Here is a 21,534-nt window from a genome sequence, read left to right as displayed (position 1 = left end):
CAATGGAAAGAAACCAAGAAAGCAGCAATGGCTACATCCAGCAGCATGGCTGAGTCTGCACACAGGATGTTGAGCGAAGGAAGCAGACCTGAGACTGTGTGTACTGCATGAGTCCCTCCATATGGTGGCCAAGAGCAGGAAGGATTTACTATTATAATTAAAGACAGAAGCGTGGTTACCTCCAGGGACCGTGGAGCTGGGTGGGGTAACCTAGCTGGAAGGGAACAGGGTGCTGCCTTGAGGGCACATGAAATATTCTAGGCCCTGGTCCAGTTACTCAGGAGTAGGCAAATGTGAGTCATCCCTCTGCACCTGAAATGAATGCATTTCGTGTCTGTAGATGATATCTTTTCATTAGGAAAGGAAGAAAGCCAGGCAGCTCATGCAAATGCACCTGCAGAGGATGAGGCTGGGCTGGGACAAGAACCACAGGTGTGGACAGGGGCCTGCAACAAGAAAGCTGTAAGGGGGTCTCCTGGAGGGAGGTGCTGATGGGAGGGCAGCGGCTGCAGTGGCTTTTGTAGATACCCTCTGGGTGCAGAAGAAGCTGATGGGGGAAAAGCCCCTGATCAGACAACAAAAGTGGGAGCTTGAAAATCAGGCCCCTGGTGGTGACCAGCATTTACTGCCCCCTGAACAAAGGCGAGGCCCTCATCTCAGACCTTGCTGTACAGTGACTCAGACTCCCTGAGATAGGTAGGCCTCATGCTTGCCATTGGTCCCACTTAACAAGGAGGGAACAGCAGTGCCAAGTCTCAATTTTGTCCAGTTCACAGCAAGTGCAGAGCCAGCATCCTTATTGCCCAGCACTAGAGTCCTTGTGCTGAAGCACGAAGCTGTTAAGTTCTGTCTCCCACCACACTCTTTCCTTTCTTTTTTTTATTTTTGAGATGGAGTCTTTCTCTGTCACCCAGGCTGGAATGCAATGGCACGATCTTGGCTCACTGCAACCTCCACCTCCCAGGTTCAGATGATTCTCCTGCCTCAGCCTCCCGAGTAGCTGGGACTACAGGTGCATGTCACCACACCCGGCTATTTTTTTTTTTTTTTGTATTTTTTAGTAGAGATGGAGTTTCACCATGTTGGCCAGGCTGGTCTCGAACTCCTGACCTCAGGTACTCTGCCCGCCTCATCCTCCGAAAGTGCTGGGATTATAGGCATGAGCCATGGCACCCGGCCACTCTTTCCTTCCTTTACGAGGCAGGATCTTGCTCCATTGCTTAGGCTGGAGTGCAGTGGTGTGATCATGGCTCACTGTAGCCTTGGCCTCAAACTCCTGGGCTCAAGGGATCCTCCCGCCTCAGCCTCCTGAGTAGCTTGGACTACAGGTGTGTGCCACCACACTCAGATAACTTTTTAATTTTTTGTAGAATCATGGTTTTGCTATATTGCCCAGGGTGGTCTTGAATTCCTGGCTTCAAGGGATTCTCCTACCTTGGCCTCCCAAAGTGCTGGGATTACAGAAGTGAACCACAGCACCCTGCCCACACTCATGCTTATAGCCTTCTGTCTCGTTTTTTTCTGATAGAATTCTAACAGTCCCAAAGCTCTGTCCTACAGACCCTTAGCACCTAGAGCAGCAAATTTGGAGGAAAAAGAGGGTTTCCCAGTTGAGTCCCAGTGATGACAGTCAACATCTGGTTGGCCATCACGTGATGTTCACGGAGGTGGCATTAGGAACTGGTCCCTGACATATGGAAGTGAGGATGTTAAAGTCCACTACTCCAGCAGGGTGTGGTGGCGGGCACCCATAGTCCCAGCTACTGGGGAGGCTGAGGCAGGAGAATCGCTTGAGGCCAGGAGTTTGTGTACGGCCTGGGCAACACAGCAAGATTCCATCTGAGATTTGTTTTCACGTGAACGACTCCACGGAGGCCCTCTGCGTTCACTTGCCGACTGGCAGAGACAGTGCCATCATGCCTCTCAGTCAGGCTTCAGCAGTCCTGACTACCTTCTGTTTGCACAGCCTCAACTGTCAGGTTGAAATGTGCGGCGTCTCCACGCTGAGCTGCCCCGTGTCCTTCTACAGCTGCCTATTGCTGTCGTTTCAGCCCAGGTAAATGTCCCGCCCATGTAAGTGAGCTGCACCTTCCTCTGCCCTTGCCTTGTCCCAGCCAGACGACCTGGACCCTCCTTCTGCCTGCTCCACACATGTGGCTACCTCTCCAGTATCCCCAGGATACCTCCCACGCCTCCCCTGCTCACAGCTGAGGGCAGGGATGCTCCATACTTCGAGCTCTCTTCAGCCTCCCAGTTTCTTGGCCATCCCGGCAAAAGTCTTAGGGCCGCTGTTGTCCTTGGTAGGACAGATCGCTGGAAGGTCACACACTCCAAAACAACCATAAGGATGGTGATAGATAAAGTAGAAACACGAGCATAAAAGCAAAAAGGTAATATTCTGGGGCTGCTGCTGCCAGGGACTGATGCCCACACAGGGCGGGGCCCCTAAGATCACGGCTGTGTTACAGCACATTGCCATTATTGCGCATGATGGTGGCCTGAGCTACCCAGAAGAGGCCACCTGACACCCAGCATCCCTGCTCAGGAAGGCAGGCAGTTTTGTAATGCCCTTTAGAGATCTTGGTGCATTTAAAAACATCCTGCTCTACTTAGTTTTTGTTAACCGGATTATTCAGTTATAGGGAATGATTCATTCTCTAATGAAAAGAGCAGAAGGGTTGTGGGTGGGTTGCATTATAGGTGATTTTCAAAGAGTTCTTTGTTTCAGTAGCTCTGGTTTGGCCTAGATGTTTTCACTGTTTAAGTCTTTCAGAATCTTTTTTTTTTTTAATTTTTAAATAGGAAGTGAGAACATCCCCGAGCAAGACCAACAATTGCTGAATAAACACAAACCCCCTTGAGAATCACGCCGACAGGTGCTATCTCTTCACCTGGGGATTGCAAAGGTGAGAGAGGAGGCCAGTGCCTCCCTGTGTCTGGAGAATCATATAGGGGTTGCTCTGGGAGTTTTAAGTTTCTCCTGAGTGAAAGTTAGTGGTTTTACATGTTCTCTTGATGCTACTTTTTACCTCTTCCTCCGGCTACTAAAAAAGCTTTCCTTGTAGGTGAAAATGGAACCGAATTAGTTCTGTGATCTTGTTCCATTCTAAAAGGGATTTGATTTTCCATTCATTCATCCCAAAACTGTTGCATACCTACTATGTGCCAGACTTTATTCTGGCCAGAAAAGATTCTTGATGTTACTGGAATTCAGTAATTTCTGTGGGCATGTGCTCAAAAGCAGGCTGCAAAGTCCTGGAGCCAGGGGTCCTGGCAGAACTCTTAGGAGAGGGATGGGTTTCTGTAACATGTCTGACACAGACCAGCAAGGCCACATTTAAACCAAGGCTGTGTGTGTGTGTTTTTTTAATTTAAATTTTAATTTTAAGTTCCTGGGTACATGTGCAGGACGTGCAGGTTTGTCACATAGGTAAACGTATGCCACGGTGATGTGTTGCACCTATCAACCCATCACCTTGTTATTAAGCCCCACGTGCATTAGCTATTTATCCTGATGCTCTCCGTTCCCCCACCCCACCCCCTGACAGGCACCAGTGTGTGTTACTCCCCTCCTTGTGTCCATGTGTTCTCATTGTTCAGCTCTCACTGATAAGTGAGAACATGCAGTGCTTGGTTTTCTGTTCTTGTGTTAGTTTGCTGAGGATAATGGCTTCCAGCTCCATCCATGTCCCTGCAAAGGACATAATCTCATTCCTTTTCATGGCTGCATAGTATTCCATGGTGTATATGCACCAGATTTTCTTTATCCAGGTATGTTTATTAAGGGGAAGGCCCAACCATGCATTGTGTGCGGCCACCTGGTGAATGAAAAGCAGGTTGGTATTTTCTTCCAAATACACATATGTATATATAGGTATATATATATTTACATGGGTAAATTGCATGTCGCAGGGGCTTGGGGTACAGATTATTTCATCATCCAGGTAATAAGCATAGTACTTGATAGGTAGTTTTTTGATCCTCACCCTCCTCCCGTCCTCCACCCTCAAGGGGGCCCCACCCTTTATTGTTCCCCTCTTTGTGTCCATGTGTACTCAATGCTTAGCTGTCTCTTATAACTGAGAACATGTGGTATTTGGCTTTCTGTTCCTGCATATATATATATACACATTATATATATATATATATATATATATATACATTTTATATATATATATACATTATATATATATATACACATTATATATATATATATATGTGTGTGTGTGTGTGTGTGTGTGTGTGTGTGTGTGTGTGTTTCAGTAGCTCTGGTTTGGCCTAAATGTTTTCACTGTTTAAGTCTTTCAGAATCTTTTTTTTTAAATTTTTAAATAGGAAGTGAGAACATCCCCGAGCAAGACCAAAAATTGCTGAATAAACACAAACCCCCTTGAGAATCACGCCAAGAGGTGCTGCCTCTTCACCTGGGGATTGCAAAGGTGAGAGGGGAGACGAGTGCCTCCCGGTGTCTGGAGAATCATATGCGGGTGTGCTGCCTTTGGAGCACAAATATATATATATACATATTTGAAATTCACAAACGTTTGCATTTCTCGCCAGCGACACAAGCCGGCTACCACTGCTGAAAGTGAGGCGGCCTCCAGTCAAGGTCTAGGGACTTGACCTGGTTTGATCTGGCTACACTCCCACTGCTCAATTTAGACTCTGCCCAGACTAACAGCGAGAGTGTAGCCAGATCCAGACCTTACCAACACGCTCCTTCCTCCCCTGTCCTACCAAGCTGGAATTCACTGTCAATATCCTCCATAGAAGACAGAGTTGGCTTCCAACAGTATCAGGGGATGCAGGCAAAGGGGGTGATGGGGCCTGAGATAAGTTTCAGTTCAGCATACAGGGGGCATCTGTGCCTGAATGACCAACCTTGGTAACTGGTATGACTTACTGTTCTCACTGAAAATACTACAGCTCTCCAAGTTGGAAAACAACATCAAGAATCTTTTCTGGCCAGAATAACGTCTGGCACATAGTAGGTATGCAACAGTTTCGGGATGAATGAATGGAAAATCAAATCCTAAGAGGAAGCTTCCTTCCAGACTGATCATACGTCATTGTCATAGGTGTCTCCATTGAAACACTCCACCAGGAGTGGGCAAACTGATTCTGAAAAGGGCCAGTGAGTAAATATTTGGGGCTTTGTAGGTCAGGAGGTCTCTGCTGCGATTACTCACCTCTGCCATTGCAGCGAGAAAACAACCGCAGACAATAAACACAGAATTAAATCAGCATGTTCCAATACAACTTTATTTACTAAAGCAGTCGGTTGGCCAGATTTGGCGTGTGGGCCACAGTTTGCCAACCCCTGCGCTAGACACGCTCACCATTCCTATAGGACAGAGACTGCGTTCCCCATCCCCTTAGGACCCAGAACTAGATGTTTTAATTAAGTACGTACATATTAAAACTGCCTCTCCCTTTTACGATTCTGTTTTAAGAACTTTAAAAAATGTTGCAAAATTCTTAGGTATTATGTGAGGGGTAGGTTGAAAGGCTGAAAGTACCAACCTTGCGTCAGAGGGAATAGTGTGTGAAGCCATTTCCTTCCTGAAACTTGGATTTGGGACTGAGGCGTGAGAATTGTGCTCTAGGGAACAGCCACCAGGGGGAGCACAGTGCACACAGAAGTAACCTGCTTTGCACCAAGAAACCAGCGGTGAAATCTAGAGGCTCAAAGGTGCAGGCTACTCATGGGATGTGCTGCGTGCTCACTTGGGGTACAGGAGCTGGGATTCTGGGTGCAAGTGAGGGAGCAAGATGCTGTTTTCTCATGCTCTACCCTTCCAGAGGTTTCGTGGTTTTGATTTGTGTGCGTATTACTTCTGCAAATATATGCTTAAGTATTGTACGTGTGATGTCGTCAGGACTAGACCAAGACGCATAGCACCCAGGGGAACAAGCTTCAGCCCAAATTACTTACGTTAATTGACTGATATGTGTTTAGGGAAGGGGCTGAGTGCTATGAGGGGGAGCAGAGGGAGTTCAGCTTCACCCGGATCCCCCGAAATTCAGTTCAGGGTCCACCTGCACACCCCATCAAGCCCTCCAGGCAAAGCATGGTATCATCCACACAGGACCGTTTTCCAGCTTTCTGTTGCTACCCAAACATATCCCTTGGCCCAAATGACCACATTTTCATCCAGTGGAACCAGGAATACTATACAGCAGTGAAAAACAAACCACAGCTACACACATCAACATGGGTGCACCACCAGAGGACGAATACAATAAACAGGCCACAGGAAAAACATACGAGGTGGTTATTTTATTTGCAGAAAGCCCCAAATCAGGCAAAACCAATGTCTTCTCTAGGGATATATCCAGGTGTGGCAAAAGTGCTAAAAAGAGCAAGAGAATTATTAAGCAAAATGTTAGGGTGCTGGATATCATTGGGAGGAAGATCTAAACAGGAAGTGTGGAGAATATGTGATGTCTTATACTGGGTAGCAGGTTATTAACTTATTTATTGAAACAAGGCCAGGTGAGGTGGCTTACACCTATAATCCCAGCATTTGGGAGCCTGAGGTGGGAGGTTAGCTTGAGGCCAGGAGTTCAGGACCAGCCTGGGTAATATGGCAAGACTCTGTCTCTACAGAAAAAAAAAAAAAAAATTAGCCAGGCATGGTGTTGTGCACCTGTAGTCTCAGCTACTCGGGAGGCTGAGGTGGGAGGATCATGTGAGCCCCCAGGATGTGGAAGCTGCAGTGGGCTATGATCACGCCATTGCATTCCAGTCCAGCCTAGTGACATAGCAAGGCTCTGTCTGTTAGAAAAAAATAAGGCCAGGTGTGATGGTTCAGGCCTGTAATCCCAGCACTGTGGGAAGCTAAGGCTGAGGTTTGAGACCAGCTGGCGCAACATGGCGAAATCCTGTTTCTACTAAAAATACAAAATATTAGCCAGGTGTGGTGGTGCATGCTTGTAGTTCCAGCTACTCAGGATACTAAGGTGGGAGGATTGCTTGAGCCTGGAAGGTCAAGGCTACGGCGAGCTTTGATGGTTCCACTGCACTCCAGCCTGGGCAACGCAGCCAGACTCTGTCTCAAAAAAAAAAAAAAGTCATCCCTAACATTTATATACATTACATATATCTTGTTTTATATCATAATAACATAGTATAAAATAAAAATAGAAATAATCCTTTCTGCATGTGTATCTCAGGGTGCAGCCCTGGGGAGACAGAGAAGCTTAGATCTGGGGAAGCTCTCATCTGGCCGATAGGGTTTGCAGTGTGGCTTTCTAGAAGCTGTAAGGGTGAATGAACCGCAGATGCTCAGCCCCACCCAGAGAACTGCAGCTGGTGTGGAAAGTAGAGTGGGAGGCATGACAAGTGACAGCTGTAGTGAGAGACGTCGGGTCTGGAACACAGTGACTCAAGGCAGAGGACTGTCCCAGGGTACGGGATCCAGGCTGATGCCCATGTGCCACTGCACTGCTGGCTCAGATGCCCCCGTGACCCCTGCAGCTCCCGGGGCTCCTGGGAATGCTACTGGCGGTGCCCCACACTGGGTGGTAGCTGCCTTTGTATTTACCCAGCCATGCCTTGACTCCCTGAGCACTGGGCTGCTTCCAGCTCTTCATTCCAGCACCTGTAGGAAGCATCTGTGGATGCTTGTGGGCGGGATCGGCCACCATGTTACCTGCTCTTTGCAGGAAAGCCTGGCCTTTTACATCCCAGGCCTAGGACTTGTCCCAGTTTGACCAGGACTGAGAAGTTTTTGGGGACATGGCTTCTTCAATGTTGAAACTGGAAAAAACCAAACCAGGATGAGGTGGTTATTTCACCCAGACTTTGGTACTCAAATGTAAGGGCTTGGTTTGGCTAGGACTGATTGTGTGTCACAGCAGCACGCCACATATCCTGTATGCCTTCTGTAAACCCTCCATTTATTTTGGAAGGAACAGTCATCCCGTGTCTCCCACTGCCAGCTCCTGGGGGCTGCCAGCGTTTTACTGAGTGGCTCTCAGCTGCCTCCAATCTTGCTAAGGGCAGATTAAACTAGTAAAATGGGACTTGAGAGCAATTCTTCCTCCCTGAAAGGCTAGAGTGAGGACACGAGAACACGCTTTTCAGACTGGAGAGTCAACAATCACAACAGATTTCTGTAACTGAAGGTGGTGGTTTTCTTGTCTTATCTTCGACTGGAGGGCATCAGACTTACCTGGGGGTCTTCTTAGACTAAGATTGCTGGGCCCCCACCCAGCGTTTCTCATTCAGGGGATCTGGGATGAGGACTGCGGACTGCATTTCTAACAAATGAAGCTAATTTTGATGGTCTGGGGTCCGCACTTTGAGAACTGTTGTCACAGTGTTAAGGGATACAGTCTAGATGAGGGGTTGTCAGACTTTTTCTACAAGGGGGTCACATAAGAAATATTTTAGGTTTTGTGGGTGATATGGTTTGGATCTGTGTCCCCACCCAAATCTCATGTGGAATTGTAATCCCCAATGCTGGAGGTGGGGCCTGCTGGGAGGTGATTGGATCCTGGGGGTGGAATACCCCCCTTTGGTGCTATTCCTGATAGAGTTCTCATGAGATCTGGTTGTTTAAAAGTGTGTGGCATCTCCTTCCTCTCTCTCCCTCCTCCTCTGGCCATTAGGATGACCCTGCCTCCCCTTCACCTTCCACCATGATTGTAACTTTCCTGTGGCCTACCTGGAAGCCAGCACCACACTTCCTGTATAGCCCACAGAACTGCGAGCCAATTAAACCTTTTTTCTTTTCTTACTTTTTTTTTTTTTTTTTTTTTGAGATAGAGTCTCAGGAGCCTAGGCTGGAGTGCAACGGTGCAATCTCAGCTCACTGCAACCTCCGCTTCCAGGGTTCAAGCGATTCTTTTGCCTCAGCCTCCCAAGTAGCTGGGACTACAGGCGTGTGCCATCACACCTGGCTAATTTTTTGTATTTTTAGTAGAGACAGAGTTTCACTGTGTTAGCCAGGATGGTCTTAATCTCCTGACTTCGTGATCCGCCCGCCTCAGCCTCCCAAAGTGCTGGGATTACAGGCGTGAGCCACTGCGCCCGGCCCGAAACCTCTTTTCTTTATAAATTACCCAGTCTTAGGCATTTCTTTACAGCAGTGCGAGAACAGACTAGTACAGTGGGCCACATGTTCTCAACTACTCAACTCTGCCGTAGTAGCCCAAGAGCAGCTAGAGACAGGGTGCAAATGAGTGTGACTGAGTTCCAATAAAACTTAATTTACAAAGACAATCAGTGGGCCAGAATTAGCCTCTGGGCTTTTGTTTGCCAGCCTCTGGTTCAGACCATTACAGTGTGATTTTCAACAATCCCCTTAGCTTCTCTGTGTTTTCCATCTTTGTATTGGTGAGTGGATGACTTTGAGCGAGTTGAAAGCAGACCATGGAGGTCTGGGAAGGACCATTTGTTTAGAGTACAGATGCAGGTCAGTGTAGCACAACCTTACTGAGGCTTTATAGCTTTCAACAACCGTCATATTATATTCACCAGTCTGTGGGTCAACTCGGGGTTCTTCTGGTCTGAGCTGGTTTGGCTGGTCTCTCTGAGCTCTCTTGTGCACCTGGGGGTGGGGGTCACCTCACAGGTCATCTGATGGTGGATTATCCAAGGTAGCCTCAGCCACATGTCTAGCAGGTGGTTGGCTGTTGGCTGGGCATCTTGGTTCTCTTCCACGTGGCCTCTCCTCCTCCAAGAGGCTAACTCCAGCTCCCACACCAGGGTGGTCTGAACATAGCAAGGGAGGAAGCTGCAGCTCCTCTGATGACTATGTTTGGAGCTCACACAACGTCACTTTCATCACACTGTACCCATCAAAGGAGTCACAAGACCAGTCCAGGTTTAAGCATGGGAAAATAGGCTCCACTTCGTAACAAGAGCAGCTGCAAGGAATCTATGGCTGTTTGCAATTTACCACTCAGGTGGAAAGAAAGGATAGGGAATGAGGCTGCTTGGCATCAAATTTTTAGCTCCAGCTTTCATAGCTGGAGTTCTCACTTCATTCCCCTGAGCCTGATCCCTCCACAGAAAAAATGAGACTGATGCTACCCAGCCTCAGAAGGTTGCTGAGAGGCTAGCGGGATTAATCTAGAGAGTGTCTGGCACAAGAAAGTCATCTCCGTGTGGCTGCTGTTATAAATGTCTCAGTGAACCCCTACAGATGTGACAGCACTGGGGGCGTAAAGAATGGAGGACACCCAAGACCATTGAATGTCCCTTCACATACGTCTCCAAGGACTCCCTGCCCAGCTCTGGGCTTTTGCTTGTCCCTGCCTAGAATCTGTTCAAGGCTTCAAAGCTCAACTCACCTTGTTGCCTCCTTTTACAGCCCTTGTCGCATTGCATTAATTTCTTTTTTACAAATGTTTTTCTCCTACGAGTTGGGAGCTTTTTGAGAGCAGAAACAGGGTTTTGCCCAGAGCCTGTGGTAGTGCCTTGGGGAACATCCTATCCCAGCCCCTTTAAATCATCTGGGGTTTGCTTCACCCTATTTTCAATCAGAAACATTGGAAGCCAACCAGCACAACTTCTCAAGAGAGGAAGGATGTAAGCAGTACATGTTCTGCTCCCTTGCAACTCTATGTGGTCTCTCTTCTGGGACATTGCCACATGGATCTTAGTATAATTTGCTTAAGAAAAACACAGTAGCTAAATTCTGTGAATCCTATCTGTTTCCCATGAGAAGAACAGATCTCATCCACAGGGCATCAGGCATGTTCAGGCTCTTTGAGAAGAGAGGACAAAGGTGGGACCCCCAAGGGCATCTCTGTGCACTTGGAGAGATCCAAGAACTCGCTAAAGTAATGTAATAAGTTAGTATTCAGTGCACACTTGTAGGGTTGAACTATGCTTTGTTATAAAGGGATGCCAGGATCGTAGAAAGTTTGTGTAGGGAGTAGGCAGATACATCATTTCTCTTTCTATAAGGCCTGTTTTGAAAGATTTCTTTCTAAAAAATGGACTAGGTGAAGACAAGGCTGTCTAAACTTAGAGAGGTATAAGAGATGCAAGGATAGAAATGACTACATTATGTATCCATCCATCCATCCATCCATCCATCCATCCATCCATGGACTTACCACCCATCATCCATCCATTCACCCATCCACCCATCCTCTCATTCATCCATCCATCCACCCATCCCTCCATCTATCCACCCACCCATCCACCCACCCATCCATCCATCCATCCATCCGCCCACCCATCCATGTATCCATTCATCCATCTACCTATCTATCCATCCATCATCCATCTACCCATCCATCCACCCACCCACCCATCCATCCATCCATTCATCTATCCAGCCATCCAACATTCATTCATTCATCTACCCACCTATCCATCCACTCATCCATTCATCCATCCACCCATCCATCCATCTATCCACCCACCCATCCACCTATCCATCCATCTATTCATTCATCCATCTATCTATCCATCCATCCATCCATCATCCATCTACCCACCCATCAACCCACCTACCCATCCATCAATCCATTCATCCATTCATCTATCCATCCATCCATCATTCATTCATTCATCTACCCACCCATCCATTCACTCATCTATCCATCCATCCTGGAGCTCACACAATGCCTTGCAAATACTTCAGTCTACCAACTTATTTTCCAATTCTAACCCTCTCCAACACTCCAACATCCCCTTCTCACAATCTATCTCTCTCTCTCTCTCTCTTTCTCTCTCTCTGTCTCACTCTCATTCTCTCTGTCCCTCCCCAACTTCTCCCTTTTGGGAAATTCAAATTGCCCAAAATATAATAGAGATAACTCCTTGATATTATTATTATGATCACCCCTTAGGTATTACAGCACTGTACAGTTTACTAAACACAAGTCTTCACATCAGTCCTCTTCTCTGCAGCCACATGACTCAAGCAGGCACAGGACCCATCAGGAACACCAGAGTCCTGAGCAGGAAGAATGTCTCCTGTCGCAGCCTTGGGGGGAGTCAGGCATGATGTGCCCGATGGTGCAGCAGGACACGATGATGTCAGAGCTGCCTGGGACATATTGAACTTCCTGATTTTTTCTTCTTGTGATGGAATAAATGATTTTGGATTAAGATGGAGAGAAACAATGATAGTATCAGATCTGTTGTGATGGCTTCCCTGGTGAGGAAAGTATTTCATAAGCTTGGAAAATCTGGTTCTAACTGGTTCACCCCTTGGAATTGTCCTCCCACCTGGCTTCCACAGGTCTGCATCATGAAGGCCCTTCCCTTTCAGCCAGGACTCTTTTGTCCACCTCCCACTCCCTCTGCAGGCACACTTGGCAAAGCTTGGACATTTTGGGTTGTCACAACTTGGAGGGTGCTACAGGGATCTAGTGGGTGGAAGCTGGGGGGCAGCTACACATCCTACAAGGCACAGGACAGCCCACAGCAGAAAACGATCAAGACCAACATCTCCAGAGGACCACGAGTGTGTGGCTTGGCTATGCATGGTCACCCAAACAGAGCTGGTGGGCCCTGACCCACTTTGGCCCAGAAGTTTCTGGCACCTCCCCCCGTCTGCGTCACTGCTATTCTGAGACATTTGCACACTGCATTCATAGGTCAATGCTCCAGGCAGGACAAGTGACATCACAAGACATGCACAGGCAGCCTCGATGGCACTGATCACAATTGAAAAATTTTGAATGACTTTTTAATTTAAAAATAAATTCTGGGCCAGGTGCGGTGGTTCATGCCTGTAATCCCAGCACTTTGGGAGGCCAAGGCAGGTGGATCACCTGAGGTCAGGGGTTTGAGACCAGCCTGGCCAACATGGTGAAACCCTATCTCTACTAAAAATACAAAAATTAGCTGCGTGTGGTGGTGCACGCCCATAATCCCAGCTACTCGGGAAGCTGAGGCAGGAGAATCACTTGAACCCAGGAGATGGAGGTTGCAGTGAGCCGAGATGGCTTCATTGCACTCTGGTCTGGGCGATAAGAGTGAAACTCCATCTCAAATAAATAAATAAATAAATTCCATATAATATCTGGCTTCCCAGGGAGACCAGCATGCCCATGGGGAAAGAAACTTGTCTGAATCCTCCTCACTGTCTCCTCACTCTAGAACAGCACCGTGCCCCTAGGAGGCAGTTGGTGAATATTTGCTGAATGAATACTGATAACCCTTGATTCAGAATTAATCACCTCTGACCTAATCTACTTTAAGCTAAATCTACAAGAGCATTTTCAGAGGATAATCATATATCTCTAATTCCAATGATTTTCTGGGCATTTCATCCAATGAAGCTCTAATGCCCAGGACCAATGAAGAAGCCCAATTGCTAAAAATCGGTCAGGACTGTCTCGGTTGCAAGTGACAGAAACCCAACTCAGACCCATTTGGCAGGAAAAAATTCTGTTGGCTCCCTGGGCTGAACAGTGCAGGGCAGGCTGAGGTTTGTGCTCCAATGATACTGTAAAAATTCTGTTCCTCATGTCTCTCCTCTGCTTCCTGAGGGCTGACTTCCTCCTCAGGGAAGCTCTGGTTGTGGGGCCGCAAGGCAGCTACAAGGGCAACTCCAGGCTCACTTCAGGTTCTCCCAGATCCTTAATCCAAGGGAAGAGAGTATCCTTCCTGAGAGATGACCAAGATCCCAGGAAGAAACCATGGCTGGCATCACATGCCCACCCTGGTCAAGGGTAGCCATCACAAATCAACACAAACTTTGACCTAAGACAATTGAAATGTATTGGAGGTCAGAAGTCTGAAATGGATTTCAGTGGGCCAAAATCAAGGTGTCTGCAGGGCCATTTTCCCTCTGGGGGCTCTAGGAACTGGGAGAACCCATTTCCTTGCCCTTTCCAGCTCCTGGAGGTGCCTGCATGCCTTGGCTCACTGCAATAATAACATCTTCCAATCTCTCTGACTCTGACCTCCTGCTTCCTCTTACAAGGACTCTCATGATTACCTAGGGTCCACCCAGATGATCCAGGGCAATCTCCTCATCTCAAGATCTATAACTTAACCACAACTATAAAGTCTCTTTTGCCATGGAAGCTCACATATACACATATACACATTAGGATGTGGTGTGAGGACAGGGACCATTATTTAGCCAACTTTAGTAGCCAAGGAGTGGAATAATCTTACTGGCCAGCATGGGTCCTGTGAGCCCTTAGGGCCCACCTCATCCAAATCTTAAGACTGGAGCAGGATTAGAGTGGAAAGAGAGGCAGAGGCTCTAGGAGGCTGCTGGGCCAGCTTCCAGAAGCCCCAACTAGGTCAAGAGACCATGACCTCTGCTAGGCACCTCACAGTGGCCTCATGCAGAAGCAATGACACAGAGGGGCCCTGCCTGGACTACGGGTGGGCTCCACCTCTTACCTCTCTGCACCTGTTTGTCACCTGTTCTCTCCCTGGTATTAGTTATGTCCCCAGCACAGAACCTGAAACAGGGCAATGCCTTCTTTCCTTCCTTTTCTATGTCAGTGATGTGAACCAACAGTTTCTTTTCTCAGTAGCTGAGCAATCTTTTCTGATTTCTTTTCTTTTTCTTTTTCTTTCTTTCTTTTTTTTTTTTTTTTTTTTAGAGACAAGGTTTTGCTCTGTTGCCCAGGCTGGAGTGCAGTGGTGCAATGTCGGCTCACTGCAGCCTCAAACTCCTGGGCTCAAGCAATCCTTCTGCCTCTGCCTCTGCCTCTCAAGTAGCTGGGACTACAGGTGTGTGCCACCACCATTCCCAGATAATTTTTTAATTTGTTGTAGAGATGGGGTCTTTCTATGTGGCCCAGGCTGGTTTTGAACTCCTGGACTCAGGCAATCCTCCTTCCTTGGCCTCCTGAAGTGCTAGAATTATAGATGTGAGCCACTGCAGCTGGCCTCTTCCAATTTCTGTTATGCTTTCTTTAGATTTTTACTTCTGTGCATTGATAGTCAATATTTGGATTCACAAGTAAGTTTCAGATCAATGAGGATCTGGAGTAAAGTAGAAGCATGCTGCTTGGTTGGCCACACCATGCTGGGGCAAACTCGGATTCAGCCCATTGGAGGCAAAAGCCTTCCCTGCACTGAACCAGTTTTTATTCCACTCAACACACCCCAGATGAAAATATTTTGGCTCAGGAGAGCAGTGCAATTATTTATGGCCTCATTTCCCTCTTTCTTTGGGAGTGGAAGCCAACATCAGTTGATTTAAAACAAAACAAAGGAAAAACCACATCTTTGACATCAGAATGCAAATGCTATTGTACCAAAGGAAAAACGAAAACAGCTTGACCAGGCCTGGAATCAATTTATTTCTGTGCCCCAAATGCATAGCACTTGGTAGAAAGAGCAAGGTATTTGGATGTCTGCTCCCACATTGGGTATTTGCTGATTTACGTGGGGGAAATGCCTTGCATATCAAGACAATCCATCATCATCATTGTCATCACTGTCATTGTTATCATTATTGTCATTATCATTGTCATCATCATTGTCACTGTCATCATCATCATCAATGTCATCATTGTCATCATCATCATTGTCATTATCATCATCATCAATGTCATCATTGCCATCATCATCATAGTCATCATCATAATTGTCATTGTTATCATTTTCATCATCATTGTCATTGCTGTTATCATTATTGTCATCATCATTGTTATCACCATTGTCATCATCATTATCATCATCGACATCATTATTGTCATCACTGTCAATGTCGTCATCATTGTCGTAGTCATCATCATGATTGTCATCATTATGTCATCGTCATCGCCATTGTCATAGTCATCATCATTGTCATAGTCATCATCATTGTCATAATCATTGTCACAGCCATCATCATCATTGTCACAGTCATCATTGTCATCGTCATTGTCATTGTCATTATTGTCATCATAATCATTGTCATAGTCATCATTATCATTGTCATCATCATCACTATCAACGTCATCGAGGCCATCACATCTGTCACCGCAGTGAGGGTCAGGTCAGGAAATGCACCCAAGGGTTTCCTGTGCTGTCAAGTGCCCCTCATGTCTCAGGCTCTGCAAATTAGAAAGTAAAAAGTCAAATTATTCTTATTTGCAGACAATATGATCTTATATATAGACAATCCTAAAGACTCTACCAAAAATCTTTTAGAATTGAATGAATTTAGTAAAGATAAAAAATTAACATATAAAATCAGTAGCATTGCTATACATGAACAACAAAATAGCTAAAAAGGAAATCGAGAAGATGAGGCCATTTACAATAGCTATGAAAAATGAAATACCTAGGAATATATTTAAGAAGTGACTGACAAAAAATAAAAACAAATGGAACGACATCCCATACTCATGGATCCAGAAATATTGTTAAAATGATGATAGTACCTAAAGTAATCTACAGATTAAACACAATCCCTACCAAAATACCAAGGACATTCTTCACAGAATTGGAAAAATCTTAAAATTGTACAGAACCAAAAAAAAACTCTGAATAGCCAAAACAATCCTGAGCAAAAGCACAAACCTGGCATTATGAGACTTCAAAATATACTACAAAACTGTAGTAACCAAAGCCTCCTCCATCCCTGCATGTCCAGGACGCACAGGAATGAACAGGCAGCCGATGCTTGGCCTTCCAGAAGCAACAGCCTGGCTGCAGATACGCAGTCAGCATGCAGACAGATGGGACACCAGCAAATATTCCAGAGAGGAAGGTTATGAAGCCCCCACATGAGAGACCAGGTGGGTTCAAAAGCCATCCAGCCATATCAGCTGAGCATGCAGTACGCAGAGCGGGGGGCATGGGCCTGACATGGAGATGCGAGACAGGGGCCTGCAGAGATGATGGCAGCTCCGTGTGACAAGGGCCTGATGTGGCTGTGGCAAACTGACCAACGTTTCTGGACAGCAATTTGGCAAAATGTTTAAGGAGCCTTTAAAAATTTTTGCTCTTCCAACTAGTCATTCAAAGGAGGTGATGGAAAGGGGCTGATCCAAAATGCAAGAAAAAGAAGGATGACTAAGGAGATTATCCCAGGATTGCTGACGGTGACCAAAAAAATAGGACCTACAGGCTCCACAGAGGATTCATAGCAGATGTGGTAGATGGTGTTAGAAGGAAAACGTTTCCATCAAATATTCCATAACATGCAAATGGCTATAATGTTCCACTGAAAAGTCTAACACAAAACCGTACATACTGTAATATGTGTAGTGTGTATACCTAGCAACTTAGTGAGAGACGCCCTCATGCCCCACTGAGTTTCACCTCACACAGCTGTTCACAGAGGCACTAGATGAACAGAGACCCCTCTGTTTTCTGTGACGACTGTCAGGGTAGAGAGCTGAATATTGGCAAAGGTTACTTCCGATTAGCAGGATTTGGAAAAGGTTTTGTTTTTCTTCACAGTTTTCTCTATTTTCTACAATGAGCCTGTATTCTTTCTTTATCGAAAAAAGATCCAAAAGTCACTTATAAAACGAAGAAAACATTTGTGATAATAAATATTTAATCACAATGCAATATTCGAAAAAGAAAATGGACTCATTCATTTTTGAGGGTAGTTGATTTTTTAAAAACCTATACAGTGCATAAAAGTAGGTTGAAAACAGGCTGGGCATGGTGACTCATGCCTGTAATCCTGGCACTTTGGGAGGTTGAGGCGGGCAGATCACCTGAGGTCAGGAGTTCGAGACCAGGCTGGTCAACATGGCTAAACCCCATCTCTACTAAAAATAGAAAAAAGTGACTGGGTGTGGTGGCTCGCACTTGCAATCCCAGCTACTCGGGAGGCTGAGACAGGAGAATCCCTTGAACTTGAGAGGCGGAGGTTGCAGTGAGCCAAGATCATGCCACTGCACTCCAGCCTGGGCAACAGAGTGAGACTTTGTCTAAAAAAAAGTAGGTTGAAAACAGAAATGCCAAAATATCAGAGGGGTGACCACGGGCGGGGACCTCAGGTGATTTTGATGCTCTGTATCTTTCTGCATGTTTTCTAAACTTGCAAAAATATGGAAAATGTTCTCTAGAAGCAAAGCAGAGGGAGAGAATGGTTTCAACCAGGGCCAGGAGGTCAGTGAAGCTTCCCAGATAAGGCAGCGTTGGAGCTGGAAGTCAGGAATCCGTCTGTGACCACAGCTTGCAGACCACCCAGGGCCCCAGCTCCTCTTGGGGTCTCCCCCTTCCACGAAGGGGAGAGGGGCTGCTTCAGATAAGTGGCTGCGAAGCAGGTCACAGTTTGCTAGAAACAGGTGGAGGCCAAAGCATTAGTGCAGGGCCCCCCTAATCCTCCCTTCTCCAGGGCAGCCATGTGCAAATGGTCATCGGAAAGGACCCCCTTCCAACAAACTGCACACGGCATCCTGGAAGTGGCTCTTGCCCACCCAGGGCCCAGCTCTGGGTATGGGGGGCCACCCACACTACCCTGGGCCCCTGGGCGCTATGAGCCCTAAGCTTAACGCCCAGCACAGTGCCTGTCCCAGGGACCAGTGCCATGCAGTGGCATGGGTAACCGTGTGTTCTCTCCCCCAGCCTCACCGCCATGGACAGCGTGCCCCTCATCTGTGACTACGGCTCTGGCTTCAGCAAGGTGGGATTTGCAGGAATGGAAAGCCCAATGGGCATGTTCCCCACTGTCCTCGGGAAACTTCGGCACGATGTGAGTGATGTCGGGGTCTCTTCCCTGTGGGGTGCTGCTCATCCAGAGGTGGCCTGCTGGCCCGGTCAACCCCATCCCCTCTGCCACAGGGCGGCCAAGGCAATCTGCTGAGCGGGGCGTGGTGGGTGCGAACTTGCCTCCACAAATCCAAGTCGGGAGCACCTGGCTTGATAACATACAGATGGCCGGGCCACCTAGAGTCTCTGCCTCAGCTGGTCGGGGGTGGGAGATGGGGTGGGCAAGGCCTTGCCCCTCTCACCACTCCCAGCATGCGGCCCACTCTGAGAGCCGCAGGCTTAGAGAGAGCAGCGATGTGTAAATCAGTAAAGTGGATGCATTGTGAAAAATCAGTCTTACTGCCCGTCTCCCATCTCTGGCTCTTCTCACATTCAGAGAGGTATGGACACAGAGAAGGAGCAATTTGCCTTTAGGGTAAACGGGAGTCCATTAGGGTGAGTGGCAATGGACACTCAGCCTCCGTGATAGGAAGGCAGTAGGAGGGCAGGTGGGGACCGGGACACAGGCCCTCCAAGAGGCCCATCTCTGACATGCCAGCAAGTGGATCCCACATCGCCAGATCTTCCTGTGTTTCAAGGGAATTTAGAAACACAGGTGTTTCTATTGTGGTAAAGTATACACAGTGTAAAGCTGTGTTAACTGCACAGTTCAGTGGCATCAAGAACATTCACCACCATCTATCTCCAGAACGTTCTCATCCTCCCAAACGGAAGCTCTGGCCCCATTAAAAACCAACTGCTCATCCCCCTCCCCCGGACAACACAGTCGCGTCATAACTGAAACTGGGCGAGTGGGTCTGAGCCTGGCTGCATGCCAGGTAGGGACAGAGATGCCTCTTCTCCCGGAAGAGGAACCACCTGCTCCGAGAGGTGACTTCTCGAATCCACATGGTGACAAAGTGGTGGGGGCAAGACCCCCCAGTGCAACTGCGTTCCCAGCTCATGCTCTGGATCATGGAGCTCATCCTCTGGAAGTTCCAATCGTCCGTGGTAGGGAGCAGCGTCGTGACGTGGAAGATCTCAGATGTCGCAGGACCTCATGGCGATCACTCTTGCTCTTTGCAGCACTTGGAGCAAATTATTGGCAGTGTTTCTAATTATCCAAGATACACTGGCTCCCGGAGCTGTGACAGAGGAGAAAATCCCGTCTCCCTCTCTAAGAGGATAAAATGCACATGGATGCTGGGAGCCAGTGGATTTCCTCCTCGTTGTCCAAGTGGCAGGGATCATAGCAGGGACCACCCTGGCAAATCGCAGGTGCCTGCACTCGAGCTAGCCAACCAGCTTGCTGCTTGGGGATTATGGAGCTCAGTGGTTAAGAGCTGGGGCTTCAGGGCCGGGGAGACTGAGGCTCCAATCTCAGCCCTGTCCTCAGCACATGCATGACTCAGCGCAAGGGTGCTGCTGTGGCAGAGGCATCTCTTTTGCATAATGTGATTGTCCAAAGTATGTATCTCAGAGATTCGGCCTGAAGGTTAAATGAGATGAGTGAATGTATGTTTGGTGCAGTTTCTGGACCATAGGGAGTGTTTAGCAATGATGACGATAGCAGTGATGATAACAATGACTAGTATATTCGTGTATTCGCTTAGAACAACAGAAATGTGGCCATGTGCGGTGGGTCACGCCTGTAATCCCAGCACTTTGGGAGGCCGAGGTGGGTGGATCACCTGAGGTCAGGAGTTTGAGACCAGCCTGGCCAACATGGCAAAACCCCGTCTCTACTAAAAATACAAAAATTAGCTGGGCGTGGTGGCACACGCCTGTAATTCCAGCTACTCTGGAGGCTGAGGCAGGAGAATCGCTTGAACCCGGGAGGCAGAGGGTGCAGTGAGCTGAGATCGCGCCACTGCACTCCACCTGGGCGACAGAGTGAGACTTCATCTCAAAAACAAAACAAAACGAAACAAAAAAAAAAAACAGAAATGTATTTCCTCATAGTTCTGGGGACCTGGAGTCTGAAAGCAAGGTGTCAGCAAGGCTGGCTTCCTCCCAAGGCTCTAGCAGGTGATCTTTCCTGTCTCTTCCAGCTCCTGGGGGCTCCAGGCATCCTTTGGCTGCCTCCGTCTTCACATGGCCTCCTTCTCTTTTTCCTTTTCTGTCTCAAATCTCCTCCTGCCTCTGTCTTAGAAGGACACTTGTCATTGGATTTGGGGCCCATCCAGGTAATCCAAGGTGATTCTCATCTTGAGATTCTTAACTATCACTTCTGCAAAGACACTCGATGCAGATAGTCACCTGAGACTCCAGGTGGACATAATGATAGGGGGGTGGGCATCATTCAACCCACTACAGTTACAATGTGGAATTTCATCTCAGCTCTCAGCCCCTCCTCCAGGGAAGGGGCCTTATCCTTGGAGTATGAATTGACTTAGAGGGGGTGCATTAGGGAGCATCTGCTGAGAGCAAGGCTCTCCCCTCCAAATCCACCCCAGCTAGGCTGCAGGCACTGTTGCCGTCTCCCATCACCCCCATGTGGGACTGTCCTAGTTGCAGGAAAACAAGCTCAGGGCCACACACAATAAAGGTAATGCACTTGAATCATCCCGAAACCATCCCCTGCCCTGCTCAGTGCAAAAATTGTCTTCCATGAAACTGGTCCCTGGTGCCAAAAAGGTTGGGGAACGCTGACCTAGATGGTGAAACACAAGATCACAGCGAGAGGAAAATTCTTTGCCAAAACAGAATGAGTGACCAAGATGAATTATGGGGCAGCAGACTGCTTGGCTCAACCACAGCAGATTGGGCTCTTGATTTGGTTTTATTTTCATGGGCAGCTGGGAGTAAGTTTCAGTCTCTGAGAGAGGTCACCTTTTTTTCTAGATCTAAGCTCCATGTCCCTCCCCACAAGCTCGATGCAGTGCCCTTAACTCCCAAGTCAAGAAGTCATAGCCACAGAGACCCAGGGTGTCCTTCGGGGCTCCGCCACCCTC

General features: G+C 47.6%; 1 pseudogene across 1 annotated transcript, besides 1 other annotated feature; it reads left to right on the top strand.

The window, feature by feature from the left end:
• Positions 2,689-2,738: a silencer, noted in NCBI's record as "silent region_3707". NCBI's record gives its function as "represses an Ori minimal core promoter by ATAC-STARR-seq in GM12878 lymphoblastoid cells {active_cell/tissue: GM12878}" and the evidence as "EXISTENCE:reporter gene assay evidence [ECO:0000049][PMID:35858748]".
• Positions 2,886-20,494, top strand: ACTE1P (actin epsilon 1, pseudogene; annotated as a pseudogene). The gene is made up of 3 exons (NR_038862.1): positions 2,886-2,906; positions 4,336-4,439; positions 18,458-20,494. The product of NR_038862.1 is annotated as an actin epsilon 1, pseudogene (transcript).
• Positions 20,495-21,534: the final 1,040 nt, after the last annotated feature.

Source organism: Homo sapiens, chromosome 11, assembly GCF_000001405.40.
Source record: "Homo sapiens chromosome 11, GRCh38.p14 Primary Assembly".
NCBI lineage: Eukaryota > Metazoa > Chordata > Mammalia > Primates > Hominidae > Homo > Homo sapiens.
Note: the sequence above shows the minus strand (reverse complement) of the source record. Positions and strands in the feature narration are given on the sequence as shown.